The sequence below is a fragment of the Homo sapiens genome, chromosome 6 (genome assembly GCF_000001405.40).
Source record: "Homo sapiens chromosome 6, GRCh38.p14 Primary Assembly".
Lineage (NCBI taxonomy): Eukaryota > Metazoa > Chordata > Mammalia > Primates > Hominidae > Homo > Homo sapiens.
Window position 1 is genome coordinate 136,955,516 of NC_000006.12, and position 25,817 is coordinate 136,981,332.

General features: G+C 42.6%; 1 pseudogene, besides 4 other annotated features; it reads right to left on the bottom strand.

The window, feature by feature from the left end:
- Nucleotides 1,043-1,611: an enhancer, noted in NCBI's record as "OCT4-NANOG-H3K27ac-H3K4me1 hESC enhancer chr6:137277696-137278264 (GRCh37/hg19 assembly coordinates)". NCBI's record gives its function as "activates a minimal SCP1, AML or CMV promoter by ChIP-STARR-seq in naive and primed H9 embryonic stem cells {active_cell/tissue: H9 hESC(naive and primed)}" and the evidence as "EXISTENCE:reporter gene assay evidence [ECO:0000049][PMID:30033119]".
- Nucleotides 1,776-2,070: a silencer, noted in NCBI's record as "tiled region #8118; K562 Repressive non-DNase unmatched - State 12:CtcfO". NCBI's record gives its function as "represses a minimal TATA promoter and a strong SV40 promoter by Sharpr-MPRA in K562 cells {active_cell/tissue: K562}" and the evidence as "EXISTENCE:reporter gene assay evidence [ECO:0000049][PMID:27701403]".
- Nucleotides 2,748-3,314: an enhancer, noted in NCBI's record as "H3K27ac-H3K4me1 hESC enhancer chr6:137279401-137279967 (GRCh37/hg19 assembly coordinates)". NCBI's record gives its function as "activates a minimal SCP1, AML or CMV promoter by ChIP-STARR-seq in primed H9 embryonic stem cells {active_cell/tissue: H9 hESC(primed)}" and the evidence as "EXISTENCE:reporter gene assay evidence [ECO:0000049][PMID:30033119]".
- Nucleotides 18,415-18,744, bottom strand: RPL35AP3 (ribosomal protein L35a pseudogene 3; annotated as a pseudogene).
- Nucleotides 21,550-22,080: an enhancer, noted in NCBI's record as "NANOG hESC enhancer chr6:137298202-137298732 (GRCh37/hg19 assembly coordinates)". NCBI's record gives its function as "activates a minimal SCP1, AML or CMV promoter by ChIP-STARR-seq in naive H9 embryonic stem cells {active_cell/tissue: H9 hESC(naive)}" and the evidence as "EXISTENCE:reporter gene assay evidence [ECO:0000049][PMID:30033119]".

A 25,817-nucleotide genomic window follows, 5' to 3' on the forward strand; every position in this document is an offset into this window, starting at 1 on the left:
AGACAGTGTGTTGGAGGGGCTGATTTTTATTCAGGGGTTTAATCAAGAAAGGAATTAAGATTAGAATTCAAGGTTTATAAATCAGGTGAAGATCAGAAGATAGGAAGGGGACAATTTGGAAAAAGGGGAGAGGACTTAAGATAAAGCCTGGGCACTTTGATTCTGTGTCCCCGGTTTCCATCATTAACATTGTTTTAGCTGCAAATGTTGCTTCCTCTTCCCAAATTAAATTAAACTGTCCTTAGAGCTGGAATAATGTAGTTCAGTTCTCTCTAAACTGGAGTATACTATCTCTCAGCACTTTCAAAATGGCTAAGGGTCTTTATTTTGTGTGTAACCTTATTTTGTGTGTAATACACATGAACATCTCGAGTGTCATTCAGAAACAGGCCATTTCTCGGATAAGTCTATTCATTTGCAAATTGACAGATCTCTATTAATAGCAAGAAATGTTTGCTATCAGGTTTACATTGTTACCAATGTAATTCAAAATCATCCTTGGTAAGATTAGGCTTTTTGCGTGGAAAATTAATTAAGTTAAAATTTAAAAGCCATCTTTGAATGAGACATGAGAAGTAAAACAACAAAATAAAAATTTAAAATCTTTGCATGAATTCAAAGTTCATGAAACTCTTAACTTATTTTGAGCACATAATTTTAAAATAAAAATATTTGAAAATTGGTTTTATATTTTTTAGCATAGCTTTTAACTATTCACTGGAATTGAGAAACTCACCTGCCTATTTGTAGAAATTCTGCTTTCTAAATATGGCTCCTAAGCATATATATGTAACTGATAGGTTTTTTTTTTTTGTTTCTTTGTTTTTTTAAACAGAGTCTCACTCTGTTTCAAAAAACAGTGACGTGATCTCAGGAGTGCAGTGATGTAATTTCAGCTCACTGCAACCTCCACCTCAGCCTCTCTAGTAGCTGGGACTACAGGCATGCGCCACCATGCCCGACTAATTTTTTTTTTTTTTTTTTTGTATTTTTAGTAGAGATGGGGTTTTGCCATGTTGTCCAGGCTGGTCTTGAACTCCTGGCCTCATGTGATCCACCCGCCTTGGCCTCCCAAAGTGCTGGGATTACAAGTGTGAGCCACTATGCCCGGCCTGTATCCCATTGTTAACATATATCTTTATGAAAGCAAAAGCAAATGTTATAGTCACACAATTATAGAATAATGTCATGTATATAATTTCTATTTAAATGTAAAGTCAAAAAAGTCCTCTGAGATGGAGCCTTCCCTTATGAAATGCTCTACCCTGCTCCTGGCTGATGGCAACCAGATCATATTTCAAACTGCTAATCAAGTTGTTAATTTATAAAATCGAGTAGATGGGAAAAGGTTTCTACTTTGGCTTTGACTTTAATTATGTTAACTTTTTCCTTTCTCTCCTAAAATACAACTTGTTAGCAAATGCCACCTAAATGGTACTTCCTTTGTGACTTCGCAGCTGTCATTGTTATGCATTCATCAGGCCGGAAGTGCTCTTCTGTGTATTTTTGGAAAGCTATTCATCTGTTTTAGCTAAACAAACAGAGCTGTTTAAGCTGTTAAAATACAGTACCATAGTTATTTGTTTTTGCATCTTCGAGTTGCATGTAAATGAAAGGTTCGGGCTAATTGGTTCTAGGAATAGTATCCAAAGCAGTTCTAGAGAATTTCTCCCGGTAATTAAGTGGAATGCACTCTGGGACTCTAGTCGGCCTCACACAGAAGGGCCTCTTGGCTTTCCTTGTGGCTGTTTGTGCTTATCTCAGCCAGCTCAGTGGTTGTGGGTAGTGGGCTGTGGGCTGTGGGCTGGGGTGGTTAGGAGGGGAGGAAGAAAAAAGTTAATTACGGCCCAATGCAGGCCGACTGGAGCTCAAGGAGGAGGCACTGCAATGGAGAAAGAGGAGCTGGGGCAGGGCCGGCTGCATAGGCCTGCGACTAGTGCTGGCACACAGCCTCTGAGCCCAGAAGGGGGCCCCGCACTCCCAATGTCTGCAGCCACCGTCTTGGAATTCTGATTTATCTTTGAATACATGGTGTCTTTTAAGTGAAGTCCTAATGGGATGATGGAGCAGAAGCTGGGACCTTGGAGCCTCCCGCCACCTCCCTGCCTTTCCTGGCCCTGGCTGCAGGCTCCCCTTCCACCCCCCTGCCTTTCCTGGCCCTGGCTGCAGGCTCCCCTTCCACCCCCCCACCCACCCACCCAGTCCCAGGCTCTCCCCCACCATCCACCCACCCAGTCCCAGGCTCCCCCACCACCGCCCACCCAGCCCCAGGCTCCCTTCCCACCCACCCACCCAGTCCCAGACTCCCCCACCACCTACCCACCCACTCTCAGACTCCCCTACCACCTACCCATGCAGCCCCAGGCTCCCCTCCCACCCCCCACCCAGTCCCAGGCTCCCCCCGACCACCCAGTCCCGGGTTCCCCCACCATCCACCCACCCAGTTCCAGGTTCCCCCACTGCAACCACCCCCTGCCCCAGTGCAGGCCCTGGTGGTCTCATGCGCATGCTCACCCCCTGCCCCCCACGCCAACCCCTTGCTTCTGAGGATCTGCACTCACCTTGCAGTATTGTGCCGGTGGGCGTGTGGCATTACATAGCAAATTACAAGCACCAGGAAGGGGCAAGAGAGAAACCGTGAGGGGGAGAAAGAAAAATCCTTTCTCTTGGTTTTTGCAAAAGGGACCCCACATTGTCATTTTTCACTAAGCCCTGAAAAGTAAGTAGCAGTCAGGAGCCAATGCACTGGTTCACCACCAAAGCCGGCAACTCAAAAAGCCCAAAGGAAGGCAATCTTGCCAACAACCAGAACGCTCCTAAGAACCTGCAGGAGCTTGACATCCACAGGTGAAGTCAAAGTTTCTCCGGCCAGAGTAAGCATCTAGGCGATTAAGCAGCATCCAGGTGGGGGTGCCTGTGACACCTGGAGCCCCAGAGGGCTTGTTACAGTGCTCTTTTAGCTCTGGGCTCTAGCGCTTGGGCTTCAGCTCTTAAAAGCCATGAATAGAGTAAGGATGAACTACAGGGTGTGGGGATAGAATAAGGGACTTAGTTTTTCAGAGAAGTTAAATGATGTAGAGTTTAGACTCTGATGCCAGGTGGTCATGGTTCAAATCCCTTTCATCCATTAATACCATGACCTTGGCCAAGTCACTCAATTATTCTGAGCTGCCAGATAAGGATCTGTGGAATCATTTCTTGATGAGTCTGATATTTTGCTTCTTTCCCATCTTTTCAGTTATTAAAAATTAAATAAAGTTATTATTTAAAAAGTGGAAATACTTCAATTTAGTCATATTTCTATCTGGTTAGGTTACAATGCCTTATTTCCCTCTATTGATGTCAGTCATGCTTCTGGTGGTTGCACGACAATCCTAATATAAGTGAACATAGGTATAATCTTGGCATCGAGAATGCCATTTATATGCATGATAGGGACGGGGGCAGAGAAATTCTAGGCAGAAAAGTGTGGTCCCTGACGAAATCTCACCCTCAAGCCAAAAAGCCTGAAACCCGTGGTCCAAAGTGAGAACTTCTATCCCTGTTTTCCCATGTGAATGCTGCCTTTCCCTAAACTACCTATGGCCCACTCTGCCCCTATCCTGTGCATAGAAGACTCCAGACTCAGCCAACAGAGAGGAGAAGCAGCTGGGCGTTGGGGTCTAGGGCTGGAAGTTGGAGAGAAGCAGCTTGACTTCAGAGGGACAGCTTGAGCTTCAGAGAAGAATTTGGAGAAGAATCTGGCCAAAGACAGCTGGACTTCAGGGGAAGATTACCTATCCCCCATCCCCTTTTCAGCTCCCCTTTCCACTGAGAGGAGACGGCTGGACTTCAGGGGAAGATTACCTACCCCCCATCCCCTTTTCAGCTCCCATTTCCTCTGAGAGCCACTTTCCTTGGCAATAAAATCCCCTGCATTTACCATCCTTCAATTCGTTCATGCGACCTCATTTTTCCTGGATGCCAGACAAGAGCTTGGGAGCCACAAGTGTGGACATAAAAGGCTGTCACACTGGCCCTTTGCCCTCGCTGGTGGAGGGCAGTCGTCTCACACGACGAGGCAAAGGGCTCACTGAGCTGTTAACACTTAAGCCATCAGAGGACAGCAGAGCTAAGAGAGCACTGTAACACGCCCTCTGGGGCTCCAGGTGTCACAGGCACCCCCACCTGGATGTTGCCATGGGGCCCGCACAGAGCTTGCTCTTGCTGGTGCCGAAGCGGCTGGCCAGTTCCAGGCCTCGTGCACTCCAGTCCCCGCCTTGTTTGCTCGTGCACTCCCTCCTGTGAGGAGTGGAGAGCTGTGGGCTGAGTAAACGATGCACCCCTGTCTCGAGTCCCACAAAGGGGTCAGGCAAATATCCTGCCTCGTGTACACACACATATCATTTTTTTCTTTTTTGGGGGCGGGTACAGGTAAGGGAGGAGACCACCCCTCATATTGTCTTATGCCCAATTTCCGCCTCCAAAGAAAGAAGTAAAAACTAAAAGGCAGAAATGAAATCCACAGGCAGACAGCCCAGTGCCGCGCCCTGGGCCTGGTAGTTAAAGATCGACCCCTGACCTAACCGGTTATGTTATCTATAGATTCCAGACATTGTATGGAAAAGCACTGTGAAAATCCCTGTCCTGTTCTGTTCTGTTCTGATTACTGGTGCATGCAGTACCCCCTGCTTGCTCAATCCATCAGGACACTCTCACACGGACCCCCTTAGAGTTGTAAGCCCTTAAAATGGACAGGAATTGCTTAGTGAGGAGAGCTTGGCTTTTGAGATGCAAGTCTGCTGAAGTTCCCAGCCAAATAAAGCTCCTTCCTTCTTTAACCCAGTGTCAGAGGAGTTTTGTCTGCGGCTCGTCCTGCTACACAGGGTCTCGCTCTGTCACCCAGGCAGGAGTGCAGTGGCGGGATCAGGATTCACTGCAACCTCCATCTCCCAGGCTTAAGTGATACTCCCACCTCAGCCTCCCTAGAAGGAGTAGCTGGGACCACAGACGCATGCCACCATGCCCAGCTGATTTTTGTATTTTTTGTAGACTGGGTTTCACCATGTTGCTGAGGCTGGTCTTGAACTCCTGGGCTCAAGCGATCTGCCCACCCCAGCCTCCCAAAGTGCTAGGATTACAAGTGTGAGCCACTGTGCCCAGCCACATATAACTTTTATAGGGCAAAAAAATTCTCCATTACCAAGCTTATTAAAAATTGGGGGAAAATATTTCAACATCTGTATCAGACAAAAGGTTAATATAAATAATAAGGAAAAAATTATAATCGATAAGAAAAATTTCAAAACTCTATTAGAAAAAAAAACAGGAAAGGCAATTTGCAAAAGAATTACAAATGATTATTACCTAACAAAGAAATGTTCAACTATTAATCAATAGAAACAGATATTTGAAAAGCTTCTACTTCTCAGTCTGACAAAATTTTATCAGCATTGGCAAGGGTGTGGTGGAAGCAGATGCTCTTACATCCTGTTGGCTTGAGGCTTCCCGAAGGGCGCTTGGGCTTCAGCTCTTAAAAGTATTAGAAAGTGAATATTCTTTGATCTGGCATTTTACTTGTAGGTATTTATCCTGAAGAAATAAATAGACATAGATATACCTGTGTTTATCAGGAGTATGGCCACTGTGATTTATACTAGTGAAAATTGTTAACAGCCTAAATGCTCAACAATGGAGATTGGTTAAATATATAAATATATATTTATAAACATATAAATAATAAATACTATGATATAATACATATATATTTGTAGATATACGTATATGTATGCTATACATATATGTATAGCTGGACTATATGGATTACATGTATATAGGATTTTTAAATTATTAAAATAATTATATAAATGTATATTAAGGCTGGGTGCAGTGGCTCACACCTGTAATCCCAGCACTTTGGGAGGCCGAGGCAGGAGGATCACTTGGGGCCAGGAGTTCGAGACCAGCCTGGCCAACATGGCAAAACCTGTCTCTACTAAAAATACAAAAATTAGCCAGGTGTGGTGGTGCATGTCTGTAATCCCAGCTACTTGGGAGGCTGAGGCATGAGAATTGCTTGAATCTGGGAGGTGAAGGTGGCAGTGAGCCAAGATTGCGCTGCTGCACTGCAGCCTGGGTGGGACTATCTTAAAAAAAAAAAAAAGTATAGTAAGAACCTGGAAGGAACTTTACATTATACATTTTTAAGTGAAAAATAGCATGTGTGTATTTTGGAAAAGCAGAAAAGGTTTTAATATTAACCGTTCGTCTGATACAGATATTGAAATATTTTCCCCAGTTTTTAACAAGCACTGTAGTTTGGTGCATGGAATCAGAAGTCAGACTGCTTGGCTTTGGATCATGGCTCTGTCCCTTTCTGGTTCCACCTCTTAAAAGCTGTGTGACCATGAGTAAGTTACTGAACATATGAACAGGACAAGAACTCTGGACGTGTGGGGATGGAAGGTGGAACTGAGATTCGAGTCCCATTTGAGCGCAGAGCCTGTATTCTTAACTTCTGGGCTACATGGAGCCAAAATAAACAGTGGCAGAGAGAGAGAGAGAGAGAGAGAGATGCAGATAAATAAAGATAGTGAAGGGTATTGGATCGATTATGTTTTAAGTACTTTCAAGGCAAGATTTTACTTTGTCTTTGAATTCCCATCATTTAGTTCCACACCTGGTGCATAATAGACACTCATAAATGAATCATTGGGTAGGGTCATAGGCGTGATGCAGAGCAGAAATGCTTAGGTTCTAACAGTGGGGCCATGGGTTGGCCATTCAGATTTGTAACTAAAAGAAAGAAAGAAAGAAAGGGCCGGGTGCAGTGGCTCACGCCTATAACCCCAGCACTTTGGGAGGCTGAGGCAGGCAGATCACCTGAGGTCAGGGGTTTGAGACCCTCCTGGCCATCATGGTGAAACCCCATCTCTACTAAAAATACAAAAATTACCCGGGCATGGTAGCACACGCCTGTAATCCCAGCTTCTCAGGAGGCTGAGGCAGGAGAATTGCTTGAACCTGGGAGGTGGAGGTTGCAGTGAGCTGAAATTGTGCCACTCTACTCCAGCCTGGGGGACAGAGTGAGACTCCATCTTAAAAAAAACAAAGAAAGGAAAGACAAAAAAGAAAAGAATAGGGAATCTTCTAAAATGAAAAAGGGGCACTAAGAGAGAGTGTGGAATATGGTAGATGAAGGGATCAACTCCTTTCGGACCCACAACCTCTTCTTTTTAAGGCTGCTTGAACTATTTATTAGTCTGTAATTAGAGTCCCAAGCGTTTCCTTCTGTTTCCTAAAGGGTTGGAAAAATGCCCCGAGGGCTTGTCACCATAGGCCTTCCCCACTTCTAATCAGCCAGATGGCAGCTGCAGGAAGTGGCAGCTAAAGCAACAATCACAATGTGGTGTTGACAGTGTAGATCTTCCACTGAATGGGGAGTATGAGGAAGCGTAGACAGTGGAGTTTTTCAGCCTGGATTTTAGAATTGGTTTTTGTCAGTTGGGCTTTATATATTAGTTGGGAATAACTAAATAATTTAAACAACAGCTATTTGATTATACTAATCTATTAGGCCAGAATCGAAAAGTGCCTTTTAAAAAGTCCTCCTGGATTAAAAATTTCTCTTAGAAACATTCATAATTCATTGCTGCTCTTACTAATGTCAAAATCTTACTGACTCAGTAAATGGCAAAAGGTGCATGTGGTGTTTGTGCTTATGTATTTATTTCATTATTTATTTGGATATGGGATACTGCATAGAAAGAAAACACACTCTGACTCGTTAGGTATATAAATCTCATAATCCTTAAGGGAAAAGAGACCAGGGAAGTGTATCTACCACTGGAGATTTTCTTTGACATTACAGACTTAAATGCTGTCACTGGCCTCCCTTTGCAAGGGCACATTCTGTTCAGATGTGTTAATAGAAAGAAAGCAGAGTCTAATGAAAATGCCAGAATGTCCTTTGGGAAGCTGACAAATAGAGTGTGCTGCTGATGTGGACTCAAGCTGCAGACCATCCATAGGCCTATTATTAGAATAGGGACAATGTCCAACCGTTCCTAATTGCTGAATGACATACACCTGCCACTTAATTTCCTCAGTGTCACCTGTGAATTATACCTAAGATCAAACAGCAAGAACATGTATTCATTCAGATATCTGTGTGTCCATCCATCCATCCATCCAGCCATCCATCCATCCATCCATCCATCCTGCCAAAAGATTGAATGTGTTCATTTAAAACTGAATATAGCAGGCTTCATCTGATGGTGCAAATATTTCTTCTTGGATACTGTGATGTGACAAGGTTTTATAGTTAAATAGATTATATTTTTCCATCAAAACAATATTATAATTGAGAGCTTGCTTCTGTTCAAAATATCAGAAATAATTACTAATAAGCTTCCAAATAGTTAGCCAAAGCAACAATATAAATAAAACCCTACAAACTTCTATAATCTATAATATAGCTTAAAAAAAAAGCAAATTCCAAGACATAGAATCTGGGAGATGGCAGAGACTTTGATAATCTTTTCTTTATTTAATAAGAAGTGAGAAAATCAAAGCTCAGAGGACTGGGTGCCACCCACTTAACTTGCCTGCTGTCACCCACTTAACTCAGTAAAGTGAAGGCAATAATAGCCTTGGTCCCCAGGTTCTCAGATCCATGTTCCCTATTTAACATGCTATTCCTGTCCCCAGAAAAATCCTAAGACACATACACGCGTGCTCTCTCTCTCACCTCTCACATTGCTTAAATAAGAGACCACAACATACTGTGAAATGCATATGATGTGAAAAGATACAACTATGGTTCGAGTGTCTAAATTAATAGCTAGCCAAAATAAATGTGACCAAAATCACAACTTTAAAAATTGTTTGCTCTGTCAAAAGCTAATAAAATATGGAGGTAACAAGGTAGAAGCCTGTTTCTCTTAACAAAACTGTTTGGGAACATTTGAGTCAGTAATTACATGGACACCATTTTCTGCCCCACCTAGACCAAAGTCTATTCATTCCTTTTTCCTTCCTTATAGAACCCTCATTTTATTTGGGTCCCTGCCACTCCCCTGCCCCTGGGCGGTGTCTGTGCCTCAGGGGAAGCCAACACTTCCAGGTCCAGGTCCTGCAGGTCTCAGGGGTATTTCAGTCCCTTGCTTGTGATTGGTTCTGGAAAAGGCACTTCATTCAAGTCAGGCAAATGAGACGATACTGGAGGGGAGGCCTAGGGGAGCTTCCAGAAGGTGCTCTCTTTTAAGGTTACTTCATGAGGAAGTAACTTATAAGGTTACTTCACGAGATTGGCCACAACACCTCACTACCTAAGTGACTTCCAAGGAAGCCAGCTCACATTGTTTATCATTTCAGCCCATTGAATGTTCCCAGTGGAGACATTCCACAATGGAGACATTCCACAATGGAGACATTCCCAAAGGAGAATTCCACAGTGAACGTGAATTCAGAATCCCTGCTCCAAAGGTGATTAGGGTATAGACTAGAGTTTCCTGACTTTTTTTGTCACCTCTCTAAAGAACCTTTTTAGATTTTTTTTCTGATATCCTCCCCACAAAATTCAATACCACAAACATACTGCTTATCTGCGTGTGTACTCTGTGTGTATCTGTGCCTTACACATTAACATAGTAAGATATTTTTGTTTCCCAAGAACAATTTTTGTCTTCTGGAAGATGGTATCATCTCCACCAAGAATGGCTTAGAGGGAGAGACAGGCTGTCCTAAAGAGAGGTATTAGGATGAGGATATCCCTAGGATGGGGGTACCCACTCATTTACAGAAAGTAGGGGCATTGCAAATTCTTTTACAAAATTGCCATTGACGAATATGAATATTTAAAAGTCTCACCACGGACTTTATTTGGTCTTGAATTCATTCCATTCCATTGTTTTTTTCTCATCCCCCTTCATATTCTCACACAACAGCAACATCCTAGCAGCCTGGAAAGAGAAAAGAGGCACAAAGGTCAGCTTGGGATAGCATGGGGGTGCAGGGTCCTAAGCCTTGGCTTTGTTGGCAAATCGCCTTCATTTCTGTCATGTCTCTGAAATGTCTCTCCCATCTTTCTCTTCTTTTTCATCTTCTTTGCCACCATCTTTATAAGCCTTCATCACCTCTGATCTGGGTAATGGACTCTCTTTTCTTTTTTTTCCTTTCTTTCTTTTTCTTTTTCTTTCTTTCTTTCTTTCTTTTTTTTTTTTTGGAGACAGGTTTTGCTCTTGTTGCCTAGGCTGGAGTGCAATGGCGCGATTTTGGCTCACTGCAACCTCTGCCTCCTGGGTTCAAGTGATTCTCGTGCCTCAGCCTCCCGGTTAGCTGGGATTACAGGCATGTGCCATCATGCCCAGCTAATTTTGTATTGTTAGTAGAGACAGGGTTTCACCATGTTTGTCAGGCTGGTCTCGAACTCCCAACCTCAGGAGATCCACCTCCCTCGGCATCGCAAAGTGCTGGGATTACAGGCATGAGCCACCGTGTCCAACCACGATCTCTCTTTTCTTAAGCATTTATTAAGGACCAACTGTATTTCAGTTGCTATTATAATCTCAATCAATACAGCAACCCTGTGAGTTACATATTAATGCCTTCATTTTACAGATGAGGAAATGGAGGCTCAAGAATTTTAGTGTCTTGCCCAAAGCTAGACCCACCAGTAAGATATAGACAGAGCTGGGGCCCAGGTAGGCCAAGTAGTACAACTTACGTCCATACTCCTTCTACTGGATTTTGTAATATCTTTAATGTGTTTAAAAAAATCACACAAGTGATAAATGAATACATTCTGTTTGCAAACAAAAAAAGATGTAATAGGTTAATGTTCCCATTAATTATCTCTCTCTATTCTTATTTTCCCCACCTCCATTCCCCAAGGTAACCACTGTCACCATTTGATGTGGCTCTTTCCAGATCTTATTCTAGAAATTTCATATATCTATCTGTGCCTCACTGCACACGAGGGACCAGAACAGGATGGTGGCGCTCACAAGACCTGGGAGGCGACTGCCCGGATGAATTCCCATGACGCTACATCTTGCATGTGGCTAAGCAGCCTCACTTGGGAATGGGTTAGTTTGTAAATCCTTCTCCTCAGAAAGTACAGGTTTGTGATGTGCAGGTGATTCTATCCTCTGCTCCAGATCATGTAGTGAATATTTAGTATGTTTCATTTTGTTTATGTTTCCATCTCTTTCCCTTCTCTAGATGATTTCTCCTCATCACCTTGTTTCTTCTTTTCTTTCCTTTTCTTTTTTTTTTTTTTTGAGACAGAGTCTCACTCTGTTGCCCAGGCTGGAGTGCAGTGGCGCAATCTCAGCTCACTGCAAGCTCTGCCTCCCAGGTTCAAGCAATTCTTCTGCCTCCGTCTCCCAAGTAGCTGGGACAACAGGCATGTGCCACACGCCCAATTAATTTTTGTATTTTTAGTAGAGATGGGGGTTTCACCTTGTTGGCTAGGCTGGTCTTGAACTCCTGACCTCAGGTGATCTGCCTATCTCCGCTTCTCAAAGTGCTGGAATTACAGTCGCGAGCCACCACACCTGGCCCCTCATCACCTTTTAACCAGAACAGTTAGGTCGTTTTCTTTCTCTTTGTGATGGCAACAGTTATTTTTATAGCTGTCTGGGGAAGGTGCTTAGGTAAATATCAGTTTGAGCTGTACAGTAAGCTTAATATAGCCCTTTTCTATGATTGATGAATTCACTACCTTCTTTTTTTGCACTTTTTGTTCAGTCAATAGAACTCGTGAATTAGTGATAGGGAAGTAAATTAGTTTAAGGTTGACAAACTTCCTAGAACCACACCCAGGGATTACACTAGATCAGATACACATAGTCACCCCTGCTCCTGTACATTGGTCCTCCAACCTTCTACTTCCCTGCAGTGGGGCATGCAGAAGGAAAAGGGACACATCTGTGAGGGAAGAAGATGATGCTGCTGACCGGCATAGACACAGGCACAGGCACATAGGGTCCGAATCTGGAGGGACCTACCATAGGAAGCTGTGGTGTGCACCCCTAGAGCCACTATGCCATGACTGTGCCTCCTTGGAGCCACCATCCAGCCTGGAGATCTCCAGGTAGAGTTCTTGGTGGAGATCACACAGGACAGCAATCTGTGGCCATAATACTATTAAAAAGGGGGCAGGGGGCAGTTCATCTTCCTGCAGAGATGGAAGTCAGATTTCCATCTTCCACTTAGATTATGGACAAAGACATTTTCTCTACATTGGTGTTAGTTGGGGCACGGGACCAGGGGGTTAAGCTAACTAGCTTGAAGGGATGTGCAAAATGACCAAGAAAGGGTGTTAGCCACTGCTTACACCCCCTTCAGTTAGCCACTGCTTACACCCCCTTCATGTAGGGGCAAAGAGACAAGAAGGTTCACACATGTGATCTGTCCCAGGAACGTAACAGAAGGTTAAGAACTGAAAGAGAGAGAGAGAGAGAGATAGAAAGATGGGTTCTGTGGTTCAGAAATCACTCCCCACTCTGGTGGGAGTCGGAGATTGGCAGTCAGATGCTGCCACACTTGCTACCATAGGGATGACTGTCATGCCGCAAGGTCTAGTCCAAAGCACATTTAGTTCCCGATGTTAAAGAGGGCTGGGAGGAAGGTGAGTGGTCTGAGAGATGAGAAGAATGCAGACAGGAGAACCAATCTGGTGACATTTTGGTCAAGTGTGCTGTCTTCATTAATTTTCGGTCTCAGGATTCCTAATTATGGAAACCAGCCAATACGTATTTTCTTCAGCCGTTCATCCCTAAGTCCTTCCGGGGCTGGACAGAGGTAATATAACAACTGTCGCCACACGGTGGCAGCAATATCTTCTTGGCTGTGCTCACCTAGCCTAGTGGGTGCTTTTTCTGTAACTGCAGAAGCCATGGCTTTCTCCCCGCTGGGACTTGCTGTTTGAGGAGCTGAGGCGCCTCACAGCACTTATTACAAAGAGTTTTCTTCATGTTTTTCTTTTTCCTTAAATGAATGCCTTGGAAAATATGAGGTTATGCATTACCGGGTAACTTTTTGCTTTTGTTTTTGTGTTGAGGCAGGGTCGCCAAAACAAAAACTTGCTCACTCTGTCGCCCAGGCTGGAGTGCGGTGGCGCCATCTTGGCTGACTGCATCCTCAACCTCCCAGGTTCGAGTGATCCTCCCACCTCAGCCTCCTGAGTAGCTGGGGCTACAGGTGTGCACCACCACATCGGCTAATTTTCTATTTTTTTTTTTGTAGAGATGGGGTTCTCATGATGTTGCCCGAGCTGGTCTCAAATTCCTCGGCTCAAGTGATCCTCCTGCCTCAGCCTCCCAAAGTGCTGGGATTACAGGCTTGGGCCACCATGCCTAGCCAGCGGGTACCTTTCTGTCTTTTCCTAATGGCTAATAATTTAAATCTAACTATATCTGTGAAGCCAGTGGTTTTGCCACAGGATGAGGAGGCGCCAGGGGACGGGAAGGTGACCAGATGTTCTAATTGAGTCAGCCTTGGTTCTGGCAATGAGCAGGTGCTCTGGAAGAAGTCCCAGGCAAGCTCTGCTGTGCCCCTTATCTGAACCGAGCTGATGAGCTGGCCCCCGTCCAGAGGAGGATGACCAGAGCAGAGAGGGATCTGGAAACCAGGAGTGACAGGGACGTGTGGAAGGGAAGGGGATGTTTGCAGAGGAAGGGATGACTTGAACACTACAGTTAAATGTTGGAAGGGTTGTCATGGAGAAGAGAGGTCGTTAGAATCAGGTCGGAAGAACTAGAACTAGTATGCTAGTTTGGAAGGGACGTTAGGAATCCCATCAAACACACTCCTCATTTTACAAAAGAAGAAAATAAGGCTGAGAGAGTGACACTTGTCTGGGGTCACGCCGTTGGCTGGTAACAGACAGACAAAGGACTAGGATACAGCCCTTTGATTATACCCAAATATGGTTGCCCATCAGGTTGTAAGCTATAGGGTGGGTGAGGAGGGTAACGAAGGTGGTGGCCTCTGTTTAGTGTTGAAGCAGAAACTGGGTGTCCAGAGAGTTCCTGAATTGCCCAGAGGGCTGGCCCCAGCCTAGTCACTGGAAAACGTCTGCGTTTACCTCTGACATACTCTATCTCTGTGTGCCATATGACTCACTTAATAACTGCCAGGTAATTCATGGTGATGAAAGTTTGTGTGTAGCGCGTGGGGTGGAGGAGGGAGTTGGTGTCTGGCCTTAGAAAAGGCTGCTTTTATGTGGCAGCAAATAGGAGGCTAGCAAGGTCTCTGGCTGGGGATTGCCTGGTGTCCTTGACCTTGCAGAGTCCCCAGGCTCCATCTTGGGGAAAAGGGAGACAGGAGAGGGAGTATTGCAGGCTTCCGTAGGCCCTCTGGGACGGGAGCAGCACTATGGGGAGATGGGTGAGCTTGTGTGCTGAACATCGCTAACTTCATAGGGCTTTGCTCTTGTCTCCATCCCTGAAAAATCCTTCCTAAGCACTGTATGGTATAAATATTTTAGTATCTGTCCATGGATTGGCTTGTTGTCTTTGTTGAGTTGCACGCATGATCTGGGCCTGGTTTCATCACACCTTGTGCAACTGCGATCATTATCTGGATGACAAAGAAGTGGGTGCAGGCCGTTCCCTGGATACGAAATGCTGAGGCAATTAAGCACATCTAATGACTGTTTTCTTAAGATGAATAGGAGTGATAGCAGTACACAAAGCAAAATGAGGTCTTATAGTCCATGCAGCCCAAGCATGGACTGGTCCTAGTAGAAGGAATGATGTAATTATGCTTCCCAAGTGTCACACCTGTACCATAGGTATTCTGAAATGACTTCATGTGTGATGACAAACATTTTCTTTTTTCTTTTTCTTTGTTTTTTTTTAGAGACAGGGCCCTGCTCTCCCATCCAGGCTGGAATGCAGTGGTGGTGATCATAGCTCACTGCAGCCATGAATTCCTGGGCTCAAGTGATCATCCTTCCTCATCCTCCAGTGTAGCTGGGACTATAGGCACATGCCAGCATGCCCAGCTAATTGAAGAAAAACATTTTCAGATGAAATTGTTGTACATATATCTTCAAGTGTGTTAGAAATATACATCTTGTGTATTAAATTTATTTGCTCAGAATGAGGCTAAAAAAATTAGTTAAAAAAATAAGTAGATAACAGCTGTTACTAAGAGCTGTGTGCTGAGTCTTGTACTAAGTGCTTTGAATGTAGTTCCTCATTTAATCGTCACAATAGCCCTTTGAATTAAATTTTGATTTACAGAAAACTGAATTGAAGCAAAGAGGAGTTGCATAATAACTTGTCCAATTCACAAAATTTTAAAGGGCAGACCTGTGTGAATCCAGACGAACATAGATCTGTCTGAATTCAGAGCCTAGACTCCTAACCACCGAGAGATACGGCTTCCTAAGAATGTAGCCACACCCCCAACAGAGGGACTTTGGTTTAGCTGGATCTTCATCCCAGAGTAGGTCCTCAGTAAATCCTTGTTGAATGGCTGAATGAATGAATAAATAGCACACAATATATGCTGATTCCGGCAAACATCACAAGGTAGCATGTGAATGCCTGAAGCTTAGGAAACTTGGACCTAGTTTAATGGTTGCAAAGTGTGTTCTTAGGAGCCATCCTGGGGTCAGCTGAAGAGGAGATTCCAGGGCTGCTGTGAGGGAAGTAGAGGCAGGTTCCTAGCCCTTCTCCCAGCTACCACAAGAGCAGCTCCCTGTTATCCACTGCCCCCGTCCCACTTCGATTTTCAAAAAAGTCTCCACTGCTTTTGAAATGAAAATAAAACAAAGAATTCCAACCTTACCTCTTAGTAATCTGGTGCAATAACATCATTATATAGATGAAGAAACTGGGGCCCAGAGAAGTAAAAGATTAGAATAAAGCCAGAGCTTAAGCCAGGCGCAGTGGCTCACGCCTGTATTTCCAGCAATTTGGGAGGCCAAGGCAGGTGGATCACCTGAGGTCAGGAGTTCGAGACCAGCTTGGCCAATGTGGTGAAACCCCGTCTCTGCTAAAAATACAAAAATTAGCTGAGCATAGTGGTGCGTGCCTGCATTCTCAGCTACCTGGGAGGCAGAGGTGAAAGAATCACTTGAACCTGGGAGGCAGAGGTTGCAGTGAGCCGAGATTGTGCCAGCCTGGGCGACAGAGCGAGACTCCATCTAAAAACAAAAAAAAAAGAATAAAGCCAGAGCTTGAATCCAGTCTTTCGGGCCCCTTTGCCCACTGCTTATTTTATCACATTGAGAAAGCTAGATTTGAAGCACACTGGAAAACATCACGGTAGTACTGATGTCTGCATCTGGCATTCAGAGAAATAGCCACAGGGACCAACCCTGACCTATACAAAAATGGATTTTAAATGCTGGGAATTCCTTATCACAAAAATGTCTTAGGTGAGGCCAGTTCTCATCATCTTCTCCATACAAGAGCAGGTTATTTGGAAGCACAAATTCAGGGGAAGTAAGTGGCATCAGCCAATCCGATTTTTAAAAAGTTTTAGGACACAATAAAACAAAAGATATTGTTCAAACTAATATGACTTAATAAGTCATTGTCCAAACCATAAACATAAATAAAAGATAACTAACATTATTATACAATAAATGATAAGTGCCAAATGAGCTATAGACGAAAAGTAAAAACTTGAGCAGAGGGAAGAATTGCTTCTAACTCGGATGACTTCAGGGCATTTAGCACGGTATAAGCAGCTCTTGAGGGGTTCTTGAAGGATTGGTGGGATTCAAGCATCCATGATATAGGGAAGAGGAAGATTTTGGGAAAGCAGAATGTTTTGGACAAACATTCATGATTGGAATTGGGGCATTGGACTGCATGGGTGGTGAATGTGGAAATATTCCTTGAGGCAGAATGTCTATTTTACTGTTTACTTGAAATAAGTGATGGGAAAGAATTTTAAAAATTTTAAATAATTTGGAAATCAGACATGCATCATTATCTATAATAATAACAACTATAAATCTAATTATTATTTATAAATAGTTCTCTTCAACTATAGGCATTATGCATTTTTTATTATTTTTTAAGACCTATAATTTTTTTTCTTTTTATTTTGTGCCCAAACCTCAGCACATAAGTGTTTTAAAAACACATATTGATCGAATTATCTGGAGTAAATATAATTGTTAAATGTAAATCAATTGTAAAAACTGAAATAATTTAAAATAAACAGAAAATTTTGTTATTCAATTTAATCACTGTAAATTTTTATTTTTGTTAAATAATGAATTACTTTGTATATGGAAATTATTAGGTTTATGTTTTGGAGGAAACAGGACTTGACACATTTGTTCTTTATTTTGAAATTTCTCTTAGAGATGGGGTCTCACTCTATCATCTGGGCTGAAGTGCAGTGGCGTGATCACAGCTCATGGCTGTCTTGAACTCCTGGGCTCAAGCAATCCTCTTGCCTCAGCCTCCTGAGTAGTTGAGACTACAGATGCCTGTCATCACAGCCAGCTGATTATTATTGTTATTTTATAGATGGAGTCTTGCTGTGTTGCCCAGGCTGATCTCGAACTCCTTACCTCAAGGGATCCTTCTGTGTAGCTGGGATTACAAGTGCAAGACACAGCGTTAAGCTTGACACATCTATTCTAAAAATAAAGCTTATTGTGAAGAATAATGGGCAAGATTAGCTAAGAAAATTTAGAAAAGGTAAGTAATGAGGGAAAAGTATGAAGTATTAAATCAAAACACTGTAATAAAATAGTGTTATATTGATATAATAAATGAAGGGAATCAAGAGACAGATCCCATTCAATGAGATAATTTAATATATAATAAAGAGGGTATATTAGTTTCCCGGGGCAGTTATAATAAAGTGCCACAAACTGTGTGACTTCAAACAACAGAAATTTATTCTCTCACAGCTCTGGAGGCTGGAAGTCTGAAATGAAGGTACAGGCAGGGCCATGTTCTCTCTGAAGTTTACAGGAAAGACTCCTTCCTTGCCTCTTCTAGCTTCTGGTGGCCCAAGCATTCCTTGGTTTTAGGCAAATAACTCCATCTGTGCTTCCATCTTCATGTGGCTGTCTTCTCCCTGTGTGTCTCTGTCTTTAACTGGTGTTCTCCTCTCTGTATCTGTTTCTTTTCTTCTCACTCTCTCTTTTTATTTTTTTTTTTGAGATGAAGTCTCACTCTGTCACTCAGGCTGGAGTGCAGTGGCACGATCTTAGCCCACTGCAACCTTCTTCTCCTGGTTTCAAGCGATTCTCCTGCCTCAGCTTCCTGAGTAGCTGGGAGAAGAGGTGCGCGCCACCACACCTGGCTAATTTTTTTATTTTCATTTTTTAGCAGAGGCAGGGTTTCACCTTGTTGGCCAGGCTGGTCTCGAACTCCTGACCTCAAGTGATCCACCCGCTTTGGCCTCCCAAAGTGCTGGGATTACAGGTGTGAACCACCGCGCCGGGCCGGCCTTAGCAGGAAGATTGCTATGGAACTTGGCAGCAACCATGCCACTGTTCCTGTGGGCCCGGGTTACCTTTCCCCAGATTACTCTGCTTTTGTTTGGTTTGCTGCCAGGAATCATTGTGTTGCTCTTTGCTTTGTATACACAAGCACATCTCTTGCCCAAATAGAATTCAGTTTCATCTTGGGCATAACCACCTTCAATTTTAAGAAGAGCTGTATGCTCCCTTTGGTTCTGGAGGCTCCGCTTATAGCCAGCAAAAAAGGACTTAGACCACAGCCTTCCAGACGTATTTCCTTTTAAGAAGTCCTGTTCCCAGCAGGCCTCCACAGGCTCCAGGGTGACAGGAGGGGACTCACTGAGGTTCCTGATCATATGTGACCATATCAGAGAGACTTTTCCTGACCCCCTAATGTAAAATGGCACCCTCACTCACACCCAGACTCCACGAGGGAGGCACTTTGCTCACTACTGTACGTTCAAGGCCTGCAGCTGTGCTTGGCATATGGTGGCACAATAAATATTCACTGAATAAATGAATAATGAAAATAAAGTGAACACAAAAATATGAAAACAAGATATTTTTGCACATGAAATTGGCAAACTTTTTTTTTTCCACTCTGTCGCCCAGGCTAGAGTGCAGTGGCACAATCTTGGCTCACTGTAACCTCTGCCTCCCAGGTTCAAGTGATTCTTGTGCCTCAGCCTCTCAAGTAGCTGAGATTACAGACATGTGCCACCATGCCCGGCTAATTTTTGTATTTTTAGTAGAGGCAGTGTTTCATCATGTTGGCCAGGCTGGACTTGAACTCATCCTGACCTCAAGTGATCTGCCTGCCTCAACCTCCCAAAGTGCTGGAATTATAGGCATGAGCCACGACGCCAAGTCTGGCAAACTTAAAAGTTTAAAACACTTGATAACACTCAGGGCTGTAGCGGCATCTGGTAAGATTATAAATTGGTATCATTTTCCCCCTAGAAAACACTTAGAAACTATATGTTACGAACATTAATAGTGTATGTGTCCTCTGGGTGCATGACCAGGGAAATCTTTTAAGTGAGATGGGGAAAAAAGTTGTACAGAAGGATGATCATTACCCATTATGGATTAGTTACATAAATTACTATAAATACATATGATTAAATATTATGCAATTTATTAAAATCTTATAGGTAAAACATATATAATGATGTGAAGAAATTGAATGCTATAATACTAGGTATAACAGAAATTTAAAGACATACACATTTAAATGTAAATTGATAAACAGAAGCTCATTTTTCCTAATGGGCCTACTGGTATGTACGGCAAGAGAAGTGAAACTACCAACAGTTTAGCCTTTGCTGAAATCAAGTAAATATGCTGGGGTGGAGAAACCAACACCAGAAGACACAGGAGCAGGTGCAGCGAACCCTAGACCAACTGGGTGTGTAGACATGTGAAACACCTCAAATTCCCTAAAGTGATAGGTCTTTGGGAGACTGAAAATAAAAAAGGGCAGCACTGAGTGAAAAATCTATTGGCCATCTCTATATGAAAGTGGATATTTCAAACTAGTACCCCTTCTCATCCTACACTCACGTAACTCACATTGCCCTGTTAGTAGTTCTGGAGACATAACTTAGTTTGTTAGCCAGGGTCTAGATGAGAACTAACTGTTCCTCCAGTTAGTTCTTAATCCTGTTTCTCCAGCTAGTTCTCATCTAGACCTAGCCAGTTAGTTCTCATCTAGATCTAGCCAGGGTCTAGATGAGAACTAACTGTTCCTCCAGGGGATAAATGACCTGGCATTTGTCCCTCTGAAAAATGAGAGGAGTGCACAAAACTATACGAAAATCCCCTCTTAAATCCCAAGAGGAAATAGTTTTCTTCTAGACATCCTAGCCATGGATACCCTCTCTCCCTGTGATTGGGTTAGGTAACCCGGGCATAAAATTCTAAAGTTTTTTTTTTCTATCTCTCTCCTTCTCTCTCTCTCTCTCCCACCCCAGTCCCCACCCCATTTTACTTTTCTTCTCTTCCTTTTTTCTCAGAAGTAGAGTGAATTCTGCATCTTGCCTCTTGAATCTCAATTTAGCATTTTTCTCACCTGAAGCATGACCCTGAGGTCTTACCCTCAATGCCAATCAGTTTATCAAAATATTTCTACCCAATAAAAAGACAGCACTTCATCAGAGGAATCTCATTTAATAAAAGTTTCTCTGTCTCATTACATCCTTTTTTTTTTTTTTTTGAGACAAGGTCTCTCTTTTGCCCAGGCTGGAGTGCAGTGGTGCGATCTCAGCTCACTCTCACTGCAACCTCCACCTCCTGGGTTCAAGGGATTCTCCTGCCTCAGCCTCCAGAGTAGCTGGGATTAAGGTGCATGCCATCACATCTGGTTAATTTTTTGCACTTTTTCTTTTCTTTCTTTCGTTTTTTTTTTTAAATAGAGATGGCATTTCACCATGTTGTACAGGTTGGTTGAACTCCTGGCCTCAAATGATCTGCTCGTCTTGGACTCTCAAAGTGCTGGGCTTACAGGTCATTACATTTTTAACAGTGGTGTTACGAAACTTGCAAAGTATCATGTTAAAAACAAAATAATGTTAATTGATTCTTTTAAAGACCACTACTTATGGTGCAATTTCCAGTATATAGCACTCTCAAGTGATTTCCTTGCCTGATCTTACTCACCTTTCTGGCACCCCATAAAATAAGTGTTCTACTCCCTATTATTCAGATGAAGAAAACGAGTCACAAGGAAGTTAAATGGTCTAATGAAAATCATGCATGTAAAAGTGATGAAGCTGGGATTTGAACCTAGTAGTTGGGTTTTTGGTATGGCATAGACATACATATATGGAGGGATGAAGGACATTAAATTTCGATCCTGATATTGATGGAGAAGCAGGAGAGAGTATCAGATAAGTAAAACACATTTGGAAATAGGTCCTCAGAAACTTTTTTTTTAAATCAATGTATTAATTATTCTGTATTTGAGATACTGCTCTTGATTCAGGATGTGAGTTAATCAGGCACAAAACAGTACTCAACTTCAGGTTTGAGCTTTGTCTTTCAATCATTTCAGAGCCCAAGGAGGAAGCTGAGTGGAGATGGGGGCTAGTGGTTAGAGGTGGCTCCTATACACTGTTCACCTTGTCTCCCAGCTCCTAAATGAGGGCTGGTCCTTCGGCTCGGCCCTTAGAGCCAGGGTCCCATTCTTGCACACCCCTTTCTATTTAGACATTCTGATTTCTTCTTGAACCTTCTGTCTCCTCTCTGTTATTTCTCCTAGCCCCTGTGACCTCTGCTGCCTGTAGAGAAGAATTCCACTCCCTCACCCTTTCTGAATCGAGTTTGGGGGAAATGACCTTGGATATTGCATGTGTGGTATCTGCAAGACAATCAGAGCACATTCACCCCTAGTGGATCTCCTGTGGATTCTTATGCTCCAAGTCCTTTGCTCTCTCTAGAACTGCGCTACTGAGTGATTTCTCTTCATATCTGGGCTTCTATATGTGCCAAACTCAGAAAGGTGTAGGGTCGTGGGGGCAGAGGGATAGTGACCATTTTTCTGCCATAAGCCATTGTTTTTACAGCTCTGTTCTGCTGGACATCAATAATGAGAATATATTAATATCAGAAAGTGTGATTTTTGGCAAGAGGGGCAATAGTGACTATTGTTTGGAAGGGATCACATAATTTTTATAATTTTTAAAAAATAACGCAGACATATAATTATTATTCCTATTATACCACTTTTTACAAAATGCCAAAAGGCTTTCAAATCTGTTATTTTTTTTTACTCCTTACAACAACTTTAGGAATATAAGTTAGATATGATTATCTTTTATGAGTCACAGATTTGCGTATTTTCCTCATTACTATTTTACATTTTCTGGCCTGTGATTGATACATTCAAGAAGCCTGTTTTACTGCATCTGGCTAGTTTTTCTAAACTGTTTTCCATGGACTAATCTCTGTTTTGTTCCTTTTTATTTCTCACAGTGACAGGATATAAAAATATTAAATAATAATTGCTACATTTCTCATTTTTGTTGGTACTGATTTCAAGGAGGTTGGCTCCAATGTTTCCCCATTTGTCACTATTTTAAATTTTTTATTTTCCTTTTGCATCTCTGTAAATGGTTGCATTTTTTTCTTTCTTGATGAAAAATTACTATACATTAGAAAAATTTTGGAAAATATGAAAAAGCACAAAGAAGAAAATGAAAATCATAGGTAATATGAAAATTTTTACCTAAAAATAAAACTGTAAACTATTTTATGTATATTTCTATCCAGCTTCTCATGTCATCTTTATTGATATGATGCCATAAATTATTGAAATTCCTAATTGTTATGCATTTTTGTTTATAATTTTCCTTTATTTTAAGGGATACTATAGTACAATCTACTTACATAAGTATCAGAATACATCTGATACATTCCTAGTAAAATCACATAATCAATTTTAAGGCTTTTGCTGAATAATATCACAAGGCTATCCAGAAAGGCTTTTTTTTTTTTGAGACAGTCAGTGTCTCACTCTGTCGCCCAGGCTGGAGTGCAGCGGCACAATCTCTGCTCACTGCAACCTCCACCTCCCAGGTTCAAGCGATTCTCCTGCCTCAGCCTCCCAAGCAGCTGGGACTGCAGTTGCCCACCACCACACCTGGCTAATTTTTGTATTTCTAGTAGAGTCAGGGTTTCACCATGTTGGCCAGGCTGGTCTCAAACTCCTGACCTCAAGTGATCTGCCTGCCTCGGCCTCCCAAAGTGCTGGATTACAGGCATGAGCCACTGTACCCAGCCAGAAAGTTTTACCAATATGTGCTTCCAAAAACATTGCATGTGTATTTTGCCATACCCTATATAGCCTTAAGTATAATCATTATCTCAGTCTTTGCCTACTTGATGAGTACCAATAATACTTTAGTATTGTTTTTGTATTTTAATCTCTTATAAGGCTGAGTATTTTTGGATGTATGAATTGCCTTTTGCCCACTTGCTTTGTCCACTTTTTTCTATTGAGAAGATAATTTTAAAAAACGATCTTGAAAGAAATATTTCTATATGAAAGATATTAACCTCTTGTCTAGTACATATTTTAATTAGCTTGCTATTTGCTTTTTGAATGGTGTTTTAACAGTTTTTTTTCCATTTAAAAATGATGAATGGTTATTGAATTTTACCAAATGTCTCATTGGTATCTATTGATATGTTTTCTTATTTTTAAATTTAAAGACATGGGATATTGCAGCAATAACAATAAAACAACAAAAAAAGTGCCAGACTACTTTTGTATTCCGTAAACTACTTTGACATGCTACAATTTTGTTCGTATTTGACAGTCATTTGAAAATGACTGGAGAACAAACCATCTCAAGTTATAAAAGATGCCAATTGTTTCCTGCCTCTGGGTCACTTCCACAGCTGAATAAGTGGCCCTGCCTCCCCAGCTCCAAGCCTCTGGTGAGTGCACTGTAATTGGACACTTGACCTAAGGGTTCCCTCAGTAGACTCACCAGTGGCCAGGCTGGCATGACAGTGAGAGAGAACCAAATGGGTTTCCCTCTTGAGTACTTGGGACGTTGAGTCTGTCCATGGTGAGCGCTGGAGCTGAGAGCTGAAGCCAGAGAGATGGGGCTGCAGGTGGGGCGGGCAGGTGCAAGATGAAGGAGCAGATATGCAAGAAGCCCTGTGGTTTCTGAGAGGTGGAAGATGCTCAGGGGGTTCCTGAAGTCTCTGGAGTTCCTCAAGTTTCCAGTGATTTTCAGATGCACACTTTGTCCTTGGATTCTGTGAGAGCCCCCAGGATTCTTTCCATCACATGCCCTCCTCTTGATTTTTCTTCCTTATTTAAAGTAGTTGAAGTAGGTTTCTGATTATGCAACCAAAAAGCCTTCATGGAACATTCATGCACCTTCCTATCCACCCCACTGGGTAAAGTGCATGGTTATGTGCTACCAAAATGCCAGGAGGTCACTGGCTTCCTACTGAAAAACAAAAGAGTTAAACTCAGCATTGTATGATCCTGAAGTTTCTCCCTCAACCCTCTAGTTCTACGAGTCTTTGGAATTAATGGAGTTTTTGTTGGGACATTTTCTTAACCAAGCTTGATAGAACTCTAGAATGACAAAGATTCAGCCTGAAGGGCATGTATTATTGAAACAGACCCTTTAAGACAGGAAGAAATTTTCCATTTTGAAAAAAATTATTTTTCCTTCAAACCTGTAGGGGTATTTTGCCTTCCTGTCATTGAATTGAAAAAGTACCTCTGCTTTTTTAAACAGTGTAACTACAGCTGCCTGTCTGTGCTTCTCTTCACGTACCCAGACCAGGCGTCCGGCCGTGACGGGTAATCAAATCACCTCAAGGGACACTGAGCCATCTGCCCCTGATCTCAGCCCACAGAAGTGAGCTGTTGGAAAGGGTTCCAGCTTTTCATCTTTAGCCAGCAAGGTCCAATTTTCTCAATGGAAGTATTGATTTAAGTCTTTCAAAACAACCCCAGCTTCACTGACATCAAGGGGATAATTCACAGCATCAAGAGAAAAGAAAATAACACTGTGGATAAAGCTGTTAAGTTTTCTTTGCACTTTGAGGGGCCACAGGGGGAGCATCGCTTGAGCCCAGGAGTTTAAGACCAGCCTGAGCAAGATGGTGAGACCCTATCTTTACAAAATAATAACAAAAATAATAAATAGCCTAGTGTGGTGGTGCACACCTGTAGTCCCAGATACTCAGGAGGCTGAGGCGGGAGGATCGCTTGAGGCCAGGATTTGGAGGCTCCAGTGAGCTGCAATCCTGCCACTGCACTCCAGCCTGGGTGACAGAGCAAGACCCATCTCTTAAAAAAAAAAAAAAAAGCAGCTTTATTTTACATGCAAAACAAAGCCCTGAAATGCATTTCTCAAATCACTAACAGAAAAGATCAGCAAAATTACCGGGATTTTAGGATTAGGAAACTATAGTCTTAGGAGGTAATGAGGAGGCTCAGAGTGACAAACTATGGTCCCCATGGAGCCAGCCCCATGCCGGGGTGTTTTTTCCACTAAAGCTGTTCTCAGAGCCCTAAAAAAGTTTGACAGATACATATTTTATTTTTTTTGTGTGTGTTTTATTCATCTTGTTGGCATAAAAATAGTGACATTCTCTTCTTATGGCAATTATATTTGAGTTATCTATCTATCTATCTATCTATCTATCTATCTATCTATCTATCTGTATTTTAAAGAGACAGGGTCTTTCACTCTGTTGCCTAGGCTGGAGTGCAGCATTGTGATCATAGCTAACTGCAGCCTTGAACTCCTGAGCTCAAGGGATCTTCCTGTCTCAGCCTTCCAAGTAGGTAAGACTACAAGTGTGTGGCACCATACCTGGCTAATTAAAACAGTTTTCTTTTTTTTGTAGAGAGGGG